The sequence below is a fragment of the Homo sapiens genome, chromosome 2 (assembly GCF_000001405.40).
Source record: "Homo sapiens chromosome 2, GRCh38.p14 Primary Assembly".
NCBI classification, from domain to species: domain Eukaryota; kingdom Metazoa; phylum Chordata; class Mammalia; order Primates; family Hominidae; genus Homo; species Homo sapiens.
The window spans coordinates 156,953,948-156,971,730 of record NC_000002.12 but is presented as its reverse complement, the minus strand read 5'-3'; the positions used below and the strand labels follow the sequence as shown (position 1 = coordinate 156,971,730).

The 17,783-nt window shown below is 38.8% G+C and overlaps 1 long non-coding RNA gene across 2 annotated transcripts in view; it reads left to right on the top strand.

Annotated features, from left to right (window-relative positions):
- LOC105373710 (uncharacterized) overlaps positions 1–3,337 on the top strand; it is an 87,864-nt gene extending 84,527 nt beyond the window's left edge. Inside the window, exon 3 of one of the 2 annotated variants that reach the window (XR_923510.3) lies at positions 3,225–3,337. This is a non-coding gene — a long non-coding RNA (uncharacterized LOC105373710). The remainder of the gene's footprint in view (positions 1–3,224) is intronic. The other variant, XR_923509.3, reaches the window with a different exon arrangement.
- Positions 3,338–17,783: the final 14,446 nt, after the last annotated feature.

The following is a 17,783-nucleotide window of genomic DNA, read 5'->3' as shown; positions in this document are numbered from 1 at the left end:
TGGTCATTAACCAGAGATCTGCAACCTAAGGCACCTCCTTGGAAACCTATAGAGAGAAGCCAGAAAACATTTACAACATGGATCATGAAAGAAGGAATGTTAATCTGCAAGTTCCATTTGTGTACATAATAGTATACAATCCTAGTTATGTGATTTACTAAACATTAATTTATCTATTATCTAGTGATAATGTAGTCTATTGGTGTCCCCAAATAATTATGACAACATTGAAGTCGAATGGAATATCACATTTATTTAAATGGTATAAAAAACTGAGAATTCAGAGAAGTCTCTCAGAGACATGGTGATAGGTAAAGTGGACCTTTCACATTACAAACATGGGAAAGGAAATGGAGCATAGTCCCTCAGAAGTAGTCATAAAGTAGGAGTCTTAAGCCAGCAAGTATTCAAGTCATAAGTCCACCATTTTACAACGGACACTTGCAAGAAATGTGGTTTGCAGGGATCATTCAAACATCAGTATTTTGAGTCCTGAGGTTGGTTTTGACACAGAGTAATTGCATCTTGTTTCCCAGGGTTTGTCTTAGCTTTCTCATGCCCCACTGATCCATTGACTCGGCCCCACAGGCTACTGACTTCAGTTTTCAGTGAAGAGCATGCTGAGATACAGGCTTTGTTTCTTCCACTCTACCAATAGAATGATGCTGTCCTGGAAAGTCAGATTTCTAGGTACTTCAAGTTTCCTGTGGAAGTAGTTAATTATCCAACTGCAACTTTTATATTTCTAGGAGAATTACCTTCAATCCTTGGAGTCCCTGCAATGCTCTTGTGAATCAAACTTGAAAACAAGCTTTGTCAAGCAGCAGGGTTCATCTGAATGTAGGTCAAAAATAGAAAACCTTTCAAAAGATTAGCAGCAACTGGTGAAAGACAAGACAGTGCCAAAATTATTCACAATCCCTTTCCTTCCTCTTAAATCTCATTAAGGATACAATTGTTGCTGAAATTGACTACATTTTAACAGTTTGGTGCAGCTCAGAAAATATCTCTTTCATTCCAGTCTTCCAACCATTACAGAGAAATTGTAAGCCCTAAATTTCCTTTTTATAGATCACAGGAAGAAAATGGAGTAAAATATAGAAAACTTTTTACATGCCTACGTTGTATTAGAAGCAATTTGAATAGACATAGACTTCGTTTTTAAAGCAATAAAAAATCAATTCCAGTGAAGTTTTGGTACAGAACTTAACATAAAATGAAGCAACTACCTTTGCAGAAGTGGTGTACATGATTTAGTAATAATGTCTGGCTTTTGAAAGTGTCTTCTCAATGTGTGTTTTTCTTCTAGACATAGATTTTTTAAAAGACATAAGTAAAGAAATTCTGAACTTCAAAAGTCCGTTCATGTTTTTGTTTTCAAAGTACAGCTCATGTTAACTAAGGAATGGGTGTGAATTTCAATTTACCTAAGGAATGGGAGTGAATTATTTTGGTTGTAAATGAATTTAGAACTAAATCCACTTAGGATGTAATTTGGTTTTAGATCTAACATTTTTTTGGCTCTTTTACTCATACCTCATCAAAATAAAGACAGCGCTCAGTGCTAATTAATATTAGAGTCTACTAACCTTCTCATTATTTTCTAATTTTTATAATCATCTTGTGAAATGGTATGATTAGCCTGGGAATGTAAAAGCTCAGCCTCAGAGGATTTAGCCTCAAGTGTGCTAGAGGAGAGCCTGGAACTCTCTTTTCCCAAGGCAGAGTTGATTTTCTTTCCATCACATCAAGATGCCTTCTTTGGTTAGGAACACACAGATTTAAATTGGGAACACAATTTATTCTGCCTGGTGGTAGGAAGCAGTAAGTCATATGTGGAAGACGAATTAGTTCAGACTTCACATAGCCTCTTTGGATGAGATTTCTACAGCTAGAGAAAACAAAACAAAACAAAACAAAGAGGGGGAGAGTTGACACCTCAAAAGGAAATTGCAACGATTTGTTTGGGGGAAGAAATAAAAATTTCTTCATCTTTTCTTTAGGGAAACTGCCCTTGTTGTTGAATACATAACCTTATGGAAACTTGTATGGATGTTATCAGATACTCTTGGTACAAAATAGGATCTATTCTTTACAAAAATCCCCCCGTGTTTTTGTCAGGCACATTTGTGAGTGTAAACTGATAAAGACTCTGGAATGAAGTGTCCAGAATCTATGAAATTTCATATCCTTTTACTTTGAAATTTTACTTTCAGAAAATTTTCCTAAGGAAAAGATTAGAAATGTGGACAAAAATGTATGTATAATATTGTTTACTGAAGTGTTATTTATAATACTGAAAAACTGGAAACAAACCCAAATGTCTGACTTTATGGAAATGTTTAAATGTATTAGGATACATGCGAAAGGTGGAATATAAAACAACAAACACAATGTAGTTGAAGGAATTTTTATGGCTTGGGGAAATATTTAATATGATATAAACATATAAGCATTTGTTATGCTTAAGTAAATCTAAGCAAAATAAAATCAATGTAGAATATGATCTCAACTTTGGGGGGCAGTATATTTACAAAAAGAAAAAGGACAGGAAGGAAAATTGTTAATATTTATATAATCAATATATAATAATATAAAAACATCAATTATAACAGTGAGAGTATGAAAGATTTTTTTCTTTATGCTTTATTTTCTAAATTTTAATGTACATATATTTATTTTACAATAAAAATATAAACAATACCTATATATAAAGTAGTTTTAAATATTATCAATGTTCTTTCAGACGTGTCAATTTAAGTGCTTTTTCTTTTGTTCCCATATAGATGGTTTCTCAAAATATGCCTGCTAATTTTTGCATCATTCTGAATATTATTACTTTTACAGATTCATTCAGCATTAACAATGGAATACCAATTTAAACCATTAGCAATAAAATGCAGCTTTATAAATGCATGTATTGTTAATGCTATGAGTCTTTTTTTTTTTTTATTTAAGTCTGGTTTTAGGAAGCCAGAGGTAATTCAGGTACTACTATACCGCATTAAAAGGGTTTCAATTCTTTAAAATTTATAATTGGTTTGGCCTAATCATTTAAACTATACATGAATGACCCTTTCTTCCTCATTCTTAGACCTATTCTTGAACCTATTGCTCCACAAGTGGCTTTTTTGTTTTTCTTTTAAAATAAAGCAAGTATGCATATTTTATATTGGTGATTGTAATACTGGAGTTTAAATTTACCTAATTGCTTTTTTGTCAAGATAATTTATCATTGAGGTCTGGCAGCCAAGATGGCCGAATAGGAACAGCTCTGGTCTACAGCTCCCAGCGTGAGCGACGCAGAAGACGGGTGATTTCTGCATTTCCATCTGAGGTACCAGGTTCATCTCACTAGGGAGTGCCAGACAGTGGGCGCAGGTCAGTGGGTGCAGCGCACCATGCGCGAGCCGAAGCAGGGCGAGGCATTGCCTCACTCGGGAAGCGCAAGGGGTCAGGGAGTTCCCTTTCCTAGTCAAAGAAAGGGGTGACAGACGGCACCTGGAAAATCGGGTCACTCCCATCCTAATACTGCGCTTTTCCGACGGGCTTAAAAAACGGCGCACCAGGAGATTATATCCCGCACCTGGCTTGGAGGGTCCTATGCTCATGGAGTCTCGCTGATTGCTAGCACAGCAGTCTGAGATCAAACTGCAAGGCAGCAGTGAGGCTCAGGGAGGGGCACCCGCCATTGCCCAGGCTTGCTTAGGTAAACAAAGCACCCGGGAAGCTAGAACTGGGTGGAGCCCACCACAGCTCAAGGAGGCCTGCCTGCCTCTGTAGGCTCCACCTCTGGGGGCAGGGCACAGACAAACAAAAAGACAGCAGTAACCTCTGCAGACTTAAATGTCCCTGTCTGACAGCTTTGAAGAGAGCAGTGGTTCTCCCAGTACGCAGCTGGAGATCTCAGAATGGGCAGACTGCCTCCTCAAGTGGGTCCCTGACCCCGACCCCCAAGCAGCCTCACTGGGAGGCACCCCCCAGTAGGGGCAGACTGACACCTCACACGGCCGGGTACTCCTCTGAGACAAAAATTACAGAGGAATGATCAGACAGCAGCATTCGCGGTTCACGAAAATCCACTGTTCTGCAGCCACTGCTGCTGATACCCAGGCAAACAGGGTCTGGAGTGGACCTCTAGCAAACTCCAACAGACCTGCAGCTGAGGGTCCTGTCTGTTAGAAGGAAAACTAACAAACAGAAAGGACATCCACACCAAAAACCCATCTGTACATCACCATCATCAAAGACCAAAGGTGGATAAGACCACAAAGATGGGGAAAAAACACAGCAGAAAAACTGGAAACTCTAAAAAGCAGAGTGCCTCTTCTCCTCCAGAGGAACGCAGTTCCTCACCAGCAATGGAACAAAGTTAGACGGAGAATGACTTTGACGAGTTGAGAGAAGAAGGCTTCAGACGATCAACCTACTCTGAGCTACAGGAGGAAATTCAAACCAAAGGCAAAGAAGTTAAAAACTTTGAAAAAAACTTAGACGAATGTATAACTAGAATAACCAATACAGAGAAGTGCTTAAAGGAGCTGATGGAGCTGAAAGCCAAGGCTCGAGAACTATGTGAAGAATGCAGAAGTCTCAGGAGCCGATGTGATCAACTGGAAGAAAGGGTATCAGTGATGGAAGATGAAATGAATGAAATGAAGCGAGAAGGGAAGTTTAGAGAAAAAAGAATAAAAAGAAATGAACAAAGCCTCCAAGAAGTATGGGACTATGTGAGAAGATCAAATCTACGTCTGATTGGTGTACCTGAAAGTGATGGGGAGAATGGAACCAAGTTGGAAAACACTCTGCAGGATATCATCCAGGAGAACTTCCCCAATCTAGCAAGGCAGGCCAACATTCAGATTCAGGAAATACAGAGAATGCCACAAAGATACTCCTCAAGAAGAGCAACTCCAAGACACATAATTGTCAGATTCACCAAAGTTGAAATGAAGGAAAAAAGGTTAAGGGCAGTCAGAGAGAAAGGTCGGGTTACCCCCAAAGGGAAACCCATCAGACTAACAGTGGATCTCACAGCAGAAACTCTACAAGCCAGAGGAGAGTGGGGGCCAACATTCAACATTCTTAAAGAAAAGAATTTTCAACCCAGAATTTCACATCCAGCCAAACTAAGCTTCATAAGTGAAGAAGAAATAAAATACTTTACAGACAAGCAAATTCTGAGAGGTTTTCTCACCACCAGGCCTGCCCTACAAGAGCTCCTGAAGGAAGCACTAAACATGGAAAGGAAAAACCGGTACCAGCCACTGCAAAATCATGCCAAATTGTAAAGACCATCGAGGCTAGGAATAAACTGCATCAACTAATGAGCAAAATAACCAGCTAACATCATCATGACAGGATCAAATTCACACATAACAATATTAACTTTAAATGTAAATGGACTAAATGCTCCAATTAAAAGACACAGACTGGCAAACTGGATAAAGAGTCAAGACCCATCAGTGTGCTGTATTCAGGAAACCCATCTCACGTGCAGAGACACACATAGGCTCAAAATAAAAGGATGGAGGAAGATCTACCAAGCCAATGGAAAACAAAAAAAGGCAGGGGTTGCAATCCTAGTCTCTGATAAAACAGACTTTAAACCAACAAAGATCAAAAGAGATAAAGAAGGCCATTACATAATGGTAAAGGGATCAATTCCACAAGAAGAGCTAACTATCCTAAAGATATATGCACCCCATACAGGAGCACCCAGATTCATCAAGCAAGTCCTGAGTGACCTACAAAGAGACTTAGACTCCCACACAATAATAATGGGAGACTTTAACACCCCACTGTCAACATCAGACAGATCAATGAGACATAAAGTCAACAAGGATACCCAGGACTTGAACTCAGCTCTGCACCAAGCGGACCTAATAGACATCTACAGAACTCTCCACCCCAAATCAACAGAATATACATGTTTTTCAGCACCACACCACACCTATTCCAAAATTGACCACATAGTTGGAAGTAAAGCTCTCCTTGGCAAATGTAAAAGAAGAGAAATTATAACAAACTGTCTCTCAGACCACAGTGCAATCAAACTAGAACTCAGGATTAAGAAACTCACTCAAAACCGCTCAACTACATGGAAACTGAACAACCTGCTCCTGAATGACTACTGGGTACATAACGAAATGAAGGCAGAAATAAAGATGTTCTTTGAAACCAACGAGAACAAAGACACAACATACCAGAATCTCTGGGACACATTCAAAGCAGTGTGTAGAGGGAAATTTATAGCACTAAATGCCCACAAGAGAAAGCAGGAAAGATCCAAAATTGACACCCTAACATCACAATTAAAAGAACTAGAAAAGCAAGAGCAAACACATTCAAAAGCTAGCAGAAGGCAAGAAATACCTAAAATCAGAGCAGAACTGAAGGAAATAGAGACAAAAAAAACCCTTCAAAAAATTAATGAATCCAGGAGCTGGTTTTCTGAAAGGATCAACAAAATTGATAGACCACTAGCAAGACTAATAAAGAAGAAAAGAGAGAAGAATCAAATAGACGCAATAAAAAATGATAAAGGGGATATCACCACCGATCCCACAAAAATACAAACTACCATCAGAGAATACTACAAACAGCTCTACACAAATAAACTAGAAAATCTAGAAGAAATGGATAAATTCCTCGACACATACACTTTCCCAAGACTAAACCAGGAAGAAGTTGAATCTCTGAATGGACCAATAACAGGCTCTGAAATTGTGGCAATAATCAATAGCTTACCAACCAAAAAGAGTCCAGGACCAGATGGATTCACAGCCGAATTCTACCAGAGGTACAAGGAGGAACTGGTACCATTCCTTCTGATACTATTCCAATCAATAGAAAAAGAGGGAATCCTCCCTAACTCATTTTATGAGGCCAGCATCATCCTGATACCAAAGCCGGGCAGAGACACAACCAAAAAAGAGAATTTTAGACTAGTATCCTTGATGAACATTGATGCAAAAATCCTCAATTAAATACTGGCAAACCGAATCCAGCAGCACATCCAAAAGCTTATCCACCATGATCAAGTGGGCTTCATCCCTGGGGTGCAAGGCTGCTTCAACATACGCAAATCAATAAATGTAATCCAGCATATAAACAGAACCAAAGACAAAAACCACATGATTATCTCAATAGATGCAGAAAAGGCCTTTGACAAAATTCAACAACCCTTCATGCTAAAAACTCTCAATAAATTAGGTATTGATGGGACGTATCTCAAAATAATAAGAGCTATCTATGACAAACCCACAGCCAATATCATACTGGGCAAAAACTGGAAGCATTCCCTTTGAAAACTGGCACAAGACAGGGATGCCCTCTCTCACCACTCCTATTCAACATAGTGTTGGAAGTTCTGGCCAGGGCCATTAGGCAGGAGAAGGAAATAAAGGGTATTCAGTTAGGAAATGAGGAAGTCAAATTGTCCCTGTTTGCAGATGACATGATTGTATATCTAGAAAACCCCATTGTCTCAGCCCAAAATCTTAAGCTGATAAGCAACTTCAGCAAAGTCTCAGGATACAAAATCAATGTACAAAAATCACAAGCATTCTTATACACCAATAACAGACAAACAGACAGCCAAATCATGAGTGAACTCCTATTCACAATTGCTTCAAAGAGAATAAAATACCTAGGAATCCAACTTACAAGGGATGTGAAGGACCTCTTCAAGGAGAACTACAAACCACTGCTCAATAAAATAAAAGAGGATACAAAGAAATGGAAGAACATTCCATGCTCATGGGTAGGAAGAATCAATATCGTGAAAATGGCCATACTGCCCAAGGTAATTTATAGATTCAATGCCATCCCCATCAAGCTACCAATGACTTTCTTCACAGAATTGGAAAAAACTACTTTAAAGTTCATATGGAACCAAAAAGAGAGCCTGCATTGCCAAGACAATCCTAAGCCAAAAGAACAAAGCTGGCGGCATCACGCTACCTGACCTCAAACTATACTACAAGGCTACAGTAACCAAAACAGCATGGTACTGGTACCAAAACAGAGAGATAGACCAATGGAACAGAACAGAGCCCTCAGAAATAATACCACACATCTACAACCATCTGATCTTTGACAAACCTGAGAAAAACAAGCAATGGGGAAAGGATTCCCTATTTAATAAATGGTGCTGGGAAAACTGGCTAGCCATATGTAGAAAGCTGAAACTGGATCCCTTCCTTACACCTTATACAAAAATCAATTCAAGATGGATTAAAGACTTAAATGTTAGACCTAAAACCATAAAAACTCTAGAAGAAAACCTAGGCATTACCATTCAGGACATAGGCATGGGCAAGGACTTCATGTCTAAAACACCAAAAGCAATGGCAACAACAGCCAAAATTGACAAACGGGACCAATTAAACTAAAGAGCTTCTACACAGCAAAAGAAACTACCATCAGAGTGAACAGGCAACCTACAAAATGGGAGAAAATTTTCGCAACCTACTCATCTGACAAAGGGCTAATATCCAGAATCTACAATGAACTCAAACAAATTTACAAGAAAAAAACAAACAACCCCATCAAAAAGTGGGCGAAGGACATGATCAGACACTTCTCAAAAGAAGACATTTATGCAGCCAAAAAACACATGAAAAAATGCTCACCATCACTGGCCATTAGAGAAATGCAAATCAAAACCACAATGAGATACCATCTCACACCAGTTAGAATGGCAATCGTTAAAAAGTCAGGAAACAACAGGTGCTGGAGAGGATGTGGAGAAATAGGAACACTTTTACACTGTTGGTGGGACTGTAAACTAGTTCAACCATTGTGGAAGTCAGTGTGGCGATTCCTCAGGGATCTAGAACTAGAAATACCATTTGACCCAGCCATTCCAGTACTGGGTATATACCCAAAGGACTATAAATCATGCTGCTATAAAGACACATGCACACGTATGTTTATTGCGGCACTATTCACAATAGCAAAGACTTGGAACCAATCCAAATGTCCAACAATGATAGACTGGATTAAGAAAATGTGGCACATATACACCATGGAATACTATGCAGCCATAAAAAATGATGAGTTCATGTCCTTTGTGGGGACATGGATGAAATTGGAAATCATCATTCTCAGTAAACTATCCCAAGGACAAAAAACCAAACACCACATGTTCTCACTCATAGGTGGGAATTGAACAATGAGAACACATGGACACAGGAAAGGGAACATCACACTCTGGAGACTGTTGTGGGGTGGGGGGGGGGGAGGGATAGCATTAGGAGATATACATAATGCTAAATGACGAGTTAATGGGTGCAGCACACCAGCATGGCACATGTATACATATGTAACTAACCTGCACATTGTGCACATGTACCCTAAAACTTAATGTATAATAATAATAAAATAAAATAAAATAAAAAATAATTTATCATTGAGAGTGTACTTTTGTTTTATACCATTCAAACATTAAAGCAACTCTATATTTTGATGACTTAAAGTTTTTTTTAGATAGGTACATGGGTGTGCAATTAGGAGAAATGATGACTTTCATATATGAATTACCTATATGTCTTACGCACAAGTAGAATTTGAATATAAAAGCAGTCAAGGTAAAGTTAGCATCAAGACACCAGTATGTATAAGCTCTCACATGTTTCAGTGCATTCTTTTTATTCACAAGTCTTTCCAGATATTTCCAGGAATATCCAAGGATAACAGTTATTTACAGGAGCTCAGGAAATATATCCTGCAATGTAACTCTGTCCTGGCCTCCTCTTCATGTCACATCACCATTTCCTTTTTAAGAATGCTAGAGTGACACTCTGGAAATACATTGAATGAAGTTAAAGAAGGAGCTGGAGAAAGGAGAAATAGATAAATGACTTCCTCATTACTCTTAAATTATACCAACCAATAATATTTTTATGATTATAGGTGGTATAGTTTGGATATTTGTCTCCCCTAATCTCATGCTGAAATGTAATCCACAATGTTGGAGGTAGGGCCTGGTGGGAGGTATTTTGCTCGATTGGATACCTCATAGCTTGGGACTGTCTTTGCTATAGTGAGTTCTCATGAAATCTGATCTGATTGTTTTAAACTATGGGGCAACTGCTCCCCCTTACTCTCTCTTTTACTCTTTCCCTGGCCACATGACCTGCCTGCTTTCTGCTTCACCTTCCACCATAAGTAAAAGCTCCCTGAGGCCTCCCCAGAAGCCAAGCAGATGCTGGGACCATGCTAGTACAAACTGCAGAAACTTGAGCCAATTAAACTTCTTCTCTTCATAAATCACCCAGTCTTGTGTGTTTCTTTATAGCAATGCAAGAATAGTCTAACACAATAAGACTAAAAATACCTTACTATAAAAGCATCTGAAACTATAGAAAGAAAATAAAACATTTTCATCATCTCTATCCCATGTGCTCTCCTTTCAGACTTTTAAAAATATATATGTGCTGATTCTATCTTTACAAAATGCAATCAGACTGAAATATACTTGCTTATACACTTAGTAGTACAAAGTAGACATCTCTACCTTTCAAAAGTTGTACATTTATATCACTATTTTAATAGCCATAGAATTCCAATGATAAATTTCCATGTTTTTTATGAATCATTAATTATTTTCACTTGTTGCATTACAAATAAGACAGATAATTATCCTTGTATATACATTTTGACACATTTTCTGATTCTCCCCCTTAGGCTAAATTCTTATATGTGAAATTGCTAAATCAAAGAAGATGCATAATTTTAAGTTTTTGTTGAATATTTCAAGTAGAAATTCATTGAGACTTCAAAAGGGATTGAGAAATAAATACACACACACACACACACACACACACACACACACACACAAAGCTATATCTAAACTTTTTTCCTGTTCCAGTTGCTTACTTTCTATTCTGACACTAACATATTAATTTTTAAATTATTTTAACTTTATAGTGTATTTTAATAACTAGCAGAGATTTCCTCCATCACTCTTTTTACCCATATTTTCCAGTGATTTTCAAAGTTTGTTCTAAGAATTCCTTTATAAAATGGCTTTGTCAAGTTATCCCCTAAACCATAAGTTTTCAATTTGGAGCATATTTTGAATGCAGATTTTTTTGTCATGCCTATAATTGTTCTTGCTTTACACATGTGCCGTCTTAACTGATTCGCTATATAAACCACCATAGGAATCATAAATCATAAAATTTAATTATGGTTAATATTTATATCTCTAATTTTATATTCTTGACTAATTACATTAGAGAACAATTCTGGGATTATGTTAAATAATAGTAGGGCTAAACTTCTATATCTTTCTTCTAATTTCATTTTTTTAAAAGCATGATGCCAGCTTCCAGATTGAGATAGATTTTTAAAAATTATTTTATTCTTATTTTAGTTAGGTTTCATTGTTTTGTTTTTTGATCAATAATGATTATTGTATTTTCTTCCATTATATTTTCTACTGTGTAGTCAATGATAAATATTTTTTCTATTGACCTCTTAATCTGATGAATTATTAATTTATTAATAGGAATTAGCCCTACCATAATGATGGCAGCAGTGTCTCACCTGGAGTGGCTGCTGCCATTATGCCAGATGCAGTGAGGCATGCCCGGCCAGGGCCGTGTGCTCCATGGAGCCAGCAGGAGCCGGGAACAGGCAGAAACCCCACCCCCTTCTGAGTTGGCAAGGTGGGAGCCTAGTGCTCCCCAGTCACAGCTGCAGCCACCCAGCCATCCCTGTGCTCTTGGGGGCCAGGAGCAGGCAGGATCCCCACCCTCTCAGACACAGCAGCAGCCACCCAAGCTGCAGCTGCAGACCAAGGCATCTCTGAACTCTCAGGGGCCCAGGAAGGCCTCCCTCCCTCCACAGGCTCAGAAGTGCCATTTCTGCTGCCTGACCTCTCCCCAGTGCCCACTTGGATCCCAGAGCAAAATTGAGGCCAAGCCTGGCCACTGTTGCAACCCAGCTGGATGTACACACCCTCGGGGCAGCATTGACGTGCCAGCCCCCTGCTGCTTTGGCCCCTTCACACTTTGGACACTGAGGAGCACAGGAGGGAGGCTGAGGGGGTGCTAAGGGCAGCCCAGCCCTGGCCTGCTGGCACCCCATGCACAAACAGCTGGCACCCCATGCACAAACAGAGGCAGGAGGCAGACAAGCTCCTGAGCAGAAAGGGGCGGGTCCCTGGTGAAGCCCCGCCTTCATGCTTGGGAAGGCCTAAAGACTGGGGGCCAGGCTGCCAGTCCCACAGACAGGAGTGGGAACTTATGGTGATTTTTCTGGGCCAACCCATGGCTACACAGGGGCTAATCAGCATGCACTTTCTCCCCTCTGAAGCCCATAAAATCCCTGGACTCAGCCAGACTTGAAGTGATGTTGGGACTTCCTGCCTGTGGAGAAGAGCTACCCCTCCAGGGTCTCCTCTATGCTGATAGCTCAGCAGATGATGGGACTAACAGCTGTAGAGAGGAGCTATCCACTCCAAGGTCTCCTCTCTGTTGAGAGATGAACACTTGATAGGACAGCTTGTCTATAGAGAGGAGCTACACACTCCAGGGTCTCGTCTCTGCTGAGAAATGTATACTCGATGGGATGACCTGCCTCTGGAGAGGAGCTACCCATTCCAGGGTCTCCAGTCTGCCGAGAGCTGAATACTCACAGAGATACCCTGGCTGTGGAGAGGATCTACCCACTGTGGGTCTCTTCTGAGCTGGTCTATTACTCAACAAAGCTCCTCTTTATTCACTCTCCTCTTTTCTACATACCTCATTCTTCCTGTACACGGGACAAGAACTTGAGACCTGCCAAATGGTGGGGCTGAAAGAGCAGTAACGCAAACAGGGCTGAAACATACCCCATGCTTGCCACATTGTGGATGACAAGAAGAAGAGAAGAGAGGAGAGAAGAGCTGTGCCCTTTTAGGGATCCCAGACTTAGGAGCTCCCTGACCCAGGGCTGTGACACCCTCTTTGGGACTCTGTGGTTCCTGGCATCTCCAAGCTTCCAAGTGGAAGCTGTTAGTGGTACACCTCATCAAACCACAGCTTCTCAGTGAGCTGGCACCCAGGCTGGCACCTGGAGCTGCCCACCCCACCACAGCTAGCATGACTGGCTGTGTGCAGTAGCCAGTCCCAGTGTTCGCTTGCTCACACATCTCTTGCTGCTTTGCTCACCCTTAGCAAGTATGGGATACAGGCCAGTAGCACGTGCCGAGCACAGCCTTCCAGGCCTGGTGGGCCCAGCAGGCCCAAGCAAAACTCAGGCAAAGGCGCCACTGGCCACAGAGATTTCCAGCTGGCAAAGCAACACCCAAGGATACTGTAACAATATTTCAAGTAAATCTTACATATTTATATCACATTATATTGATAAATATGTTTGTAAATATTTAGTTCTTTAGCTAACATTCATAAGTAATAATGATCTACATGTGAACTTTGTTCATGCTAAATTTCTAAGATTAAAATCTGAATTATACTGATTTTATTTTTTAAAGCGTCTTGTATGTTTTTAATTAAATTTTTTAATTTTTAATTTTTACAGATTTATGGATAAAAGTATAGTTGTTTTACATGAATATATTGCATACCGGTGAAGTCTGGGCTTTTCATCTGCTCATTATCCAAATAGTGTACATTGTACCCTATGTTACCCCACTGCCACCCTCCCACCACTGGGTGTGTCCAATGTCTGTTTTTCCACTCTGTGCAACCATTTGTACCCATTGTTTACCTCCCACTTATAATTGAGGAAAAAATAACTTGGAAAAGCTTTCTTTTTTTGTACTTGTGCAGGAAACACTTAAAACATCTAGTAGTTAATCTATTCTTGAATGTGTGAGGACATTATAGTTGAAATTTTCTTATTTTTTTCTTGGAAGTAGTTCTTTGACAATTTTAATTCTCTCTGGTTAAATTTCTTTTAAGCTATAATATATTTGGTCAAAATTCTCTGCCAGTTTTACTGATACGTATATTTTTAGAAAAGTCTTTATTTTTTAAGACTTCCAAATTTGTTATTATGAAGTTTTGCATAGTATTCACTTACAAATATATGTAAAGAACAGCACTTATATTCTCTTCCTAGCTTGTAACATCATAAATTTATAGTTTCTTTTTCACTTTTGTTAAAATTCTTGCTGAACATATGTCACTTTTTAAAATCTCCTCAAGATCCTGCCTCAAATTTATCAATTAGTTTTTTTATTACTTACTAATCTTTAAATTTGTCTATATTTGTTTTTCTACTGCATGCTGTAAGTTTATTTTATTCTTCATATGATTTTTACATAGAATACTATATTTATAAGTATTAATAAGTATGATATATAATGTGTTGTAAATGATTATACATTATATGATCATGTAATATATATTAAATAATAAATTATGTAATGATGTGCATTATTTGGATATGATTATATAATTATAATTCTATTTATTTGTATTTGTCTCATTTTAATGTTATTAATTTTCTTTTGGCTATGGTTTTGAACACATTCTATAAATTGTGATATATAGTTTTCTTATTATCATACATTCTAAATGGTTTTTTTGTCTTTTGTATGCTTTAAATCCTTTTATTCCAATATTGCAATAGTATTTAAAAATTCCTAATTTGTGTGTAATATTTTTATTGCTTTAAGTTATTAAATTTTAGTTTCATTGCATGGATATAGTGGAAATCACTGTGTTGGTCTTCTGGTTTTACTTTTTAATATATTGAGATTTTTTTAAGATATAATAGATGATCATCTAAAACATATCTTTCACAGAGGTTTGGAAAAAAAGGGTACTTTTTTATATGTCAGATATAACAGTTTGATATAGCCAGTAAATAAATTATATTAGTTTATTATTCAAATCTTTTATATGTGCTTCAGCTGTCAAAAATGAATCCACCAGCTGAGCATGGTGGCATGCGCCTGTAATCCCAGCTTCTCAGGAGGCTAACAAAAGGATGAGTTAAGGCCAGGAGTTCAAGACCAGCCTGGACAACATAAAGAGACCCTATCTCTTATAAAACAAAAAAATTAAGAAAAAAAAACCACTAGCAAATGAATCTAGCATATTTGAATTTCTTACTGTTAAATTTCTGTTATGTATGTCTATAGGTGTATCTTTTTTCTTTCCTTTATATATGTTATTGAATTGTTAACCAACTAAATTGAGTGAGGAAGACTTGGTTCAAAATCTTTGTAACTCAGAACTTGCTATATGTCATCATGTGGCAATTAGTGTTCCAATAACTAAGCTAAAAGGTTACCAGATCCCAGAGACGAGAACACTGGCAAACAGCCCCCATGATGTCATCTGGTTGATTAAAAAGATCTTGGTGCAGAGAAGCCCTCTCTGCTACACATGCGGGAAGATCTCCAGGCATTTAGAGCACTGCTCATCTGAATCAGCAGCTTGGCCTGCCCCACCATGCCTGTGCAGAGATCTTGGTGCAGGGAGGCTCTCTCTGCTCATGCCCAGGCAGATCTCTAGCCATTCAGAGGATCTGATTGCCTGGTTTAGCAGTCTGAGTTACCCCAAATCCTCTGTGCAGAGATATTCATGCAGGGGGTCCCTCTCTGCTCCATGTTCAGGCAGATCTCCAGGCATTTGGAGGGCTTACTCTCTTGGGCTAGAATTTTAAGCCATCCCCCATCCCTCTGCAGAGAACTTGGAGTCAAGGTGGTTTCCCAGCTCCATGACTAGGCACACCTGTGGGTACTTGGTGGCTGCCCACTGGATTCTCCCTCAGAATTGGTGCCTGTGCCTGTAATAGGAGGACCTGTAGATGGGCATGCCCTGTCCAGGCCTGCCCTTCAGAACTCCTACCCTCCCAGGGCTGAGCAGGAACCTTAGACTGCTATACAGTCCATGAATCAGCTAATTGCCTGAGGCAACAGAGAGCTTCTGCCAGTGTCAAAGATCAAGTACATACCCAGCTATGTGGGTCACAGCCAGCTCTTACCTATAAGTGTGATCCATGGGCTTGTAGGTCAAACTCCACAGCCGAATATAAAAACTGCTGAAAGAAGTGCATAGGGCTATAGAAGCAAAGCCTAAAGACCAAAAGATGCTACTCAGCATTCTCTATAGTCACACCAGCTGGTAGGGAGCGTTGGGGAGGGAAAGAGAAAAAAAATAATAACTATAGCATTATAGGTAAAGAAAGAAAAAAAGTCCTACCCACACAAAAATAATTACAAATATTAGAAGTGCCAGAGTCTCTAGATGTGAGGGAACCAGTGCATAAATTCTGGCACCATGAAAAATCTGAATGTAGTAACACCACCAAGATTTTCACTTCCTGTCCAGCAATAGCCATTAGCCAAAATGGAAACTCAGGAATGACAGATAAAGAATTCAGAGCATGAATTACAAGGAAGCTCACTGAGATCCAAGACAATGTTGAAAATCAACACAAAGACACTTCTAAAGCAATCCAGGAAATGAAGAAAGAGGTAAATATATTTTTTAAAAAAAAAATCAGAGCTTTTGGAATTGAATAACTTACTTAAGGATTTTCAAAATATAATTGAAAGCTTTATCAATAGACTGGACCTAGCAGCAGAAAAATTTTGAGAGCTTGAAGACTAGTCTTTTGAAGTGACCCAGTTAGATTAAAATGAAGAAAAAAAGAATTTTTTTAAAAAAGAACAAAGTCTTCAAGAAATATTGGATTATGTAAAGTGACCAAACCTACAAATTATTGCCATTCCTGAGAGAGAAAGAGAAAAAGTGAACAACCTGGAAAATATTTTAGATGGAATAATTCAAGAAAACTTTCTTAATTTTGCTAGAGAAGTAGACATCCATATACAAGAAATTAGGGGACACCAGTAAGCTACTATACAAAACAAACATCACCAAGGCATATAGTCACCAGACTGTCCAAGGTTAATGCTAAGGAAAAAAGTCTTAAAGGCAGCTAGAGAAAAAGGTCAGGTCATGTACAAAGAGAACATCATTAGGCTAACAGCAGACAGCAGAAACCTTACAAGTGAAGAGATTGGGGCCCTTTTATTTTATTTAAGAATGCTGAAAATAGGCCCCCAGTCTCTCCTCACTTGTAAGGTTTCTGCTGAGATGTCTGCTGTTAGCCTAAAGGGGTTCTCTTTGTACATAATTGATAACTGAACTGCATATATATCTTAAAAATATACGTATCCCAATCTTGTATCCCAGATACAAGAAATTCAGGGAACATCTATGAGATACTATACAAAACAAACATCACCGAGGCATATAATCACCAGACTGTCCAAAGTCAATGCTAAGGAAAAATAAATCTTAAAGGCGGCTAGAGAAAAAGGTCAGATCACATACAAAGAGAACCTCATTAGGCTAACAGCAGACTCCAGAAACCTTACAAGTGAGGAGAGATTGGGGGCCTATTTATTTCCTTTAAGAATGCTGAGAATAGGCCTCCAGTATCTCCTTACCTGTTAGGTTTCTGCAGAGATGTCTGCTGTTAGCCTAATGGGGCTCTTTTTGTACATAGTTAATAACTGAATTGCATGTATATCTTAAATATATATGTATCCCAAGCACCCAGATTCATAAAACAAGTACTTCTAGACCTATGGAAAGACTTAGCCACACAATAATAGTAGTAGATTTCAACACTCCACTGACAGCATTGAACAGATCATCAATGCAGAAAACTAACAAATTCTGGACATAAACTCAACCCTTGACCAATTGTACCTAATCAACACCTGAAGAATTCTTCACCCATCAACCACAGAATATACATTCTTTTCATCTGTACATGGAACATACTCCAAGATAAGCCACATG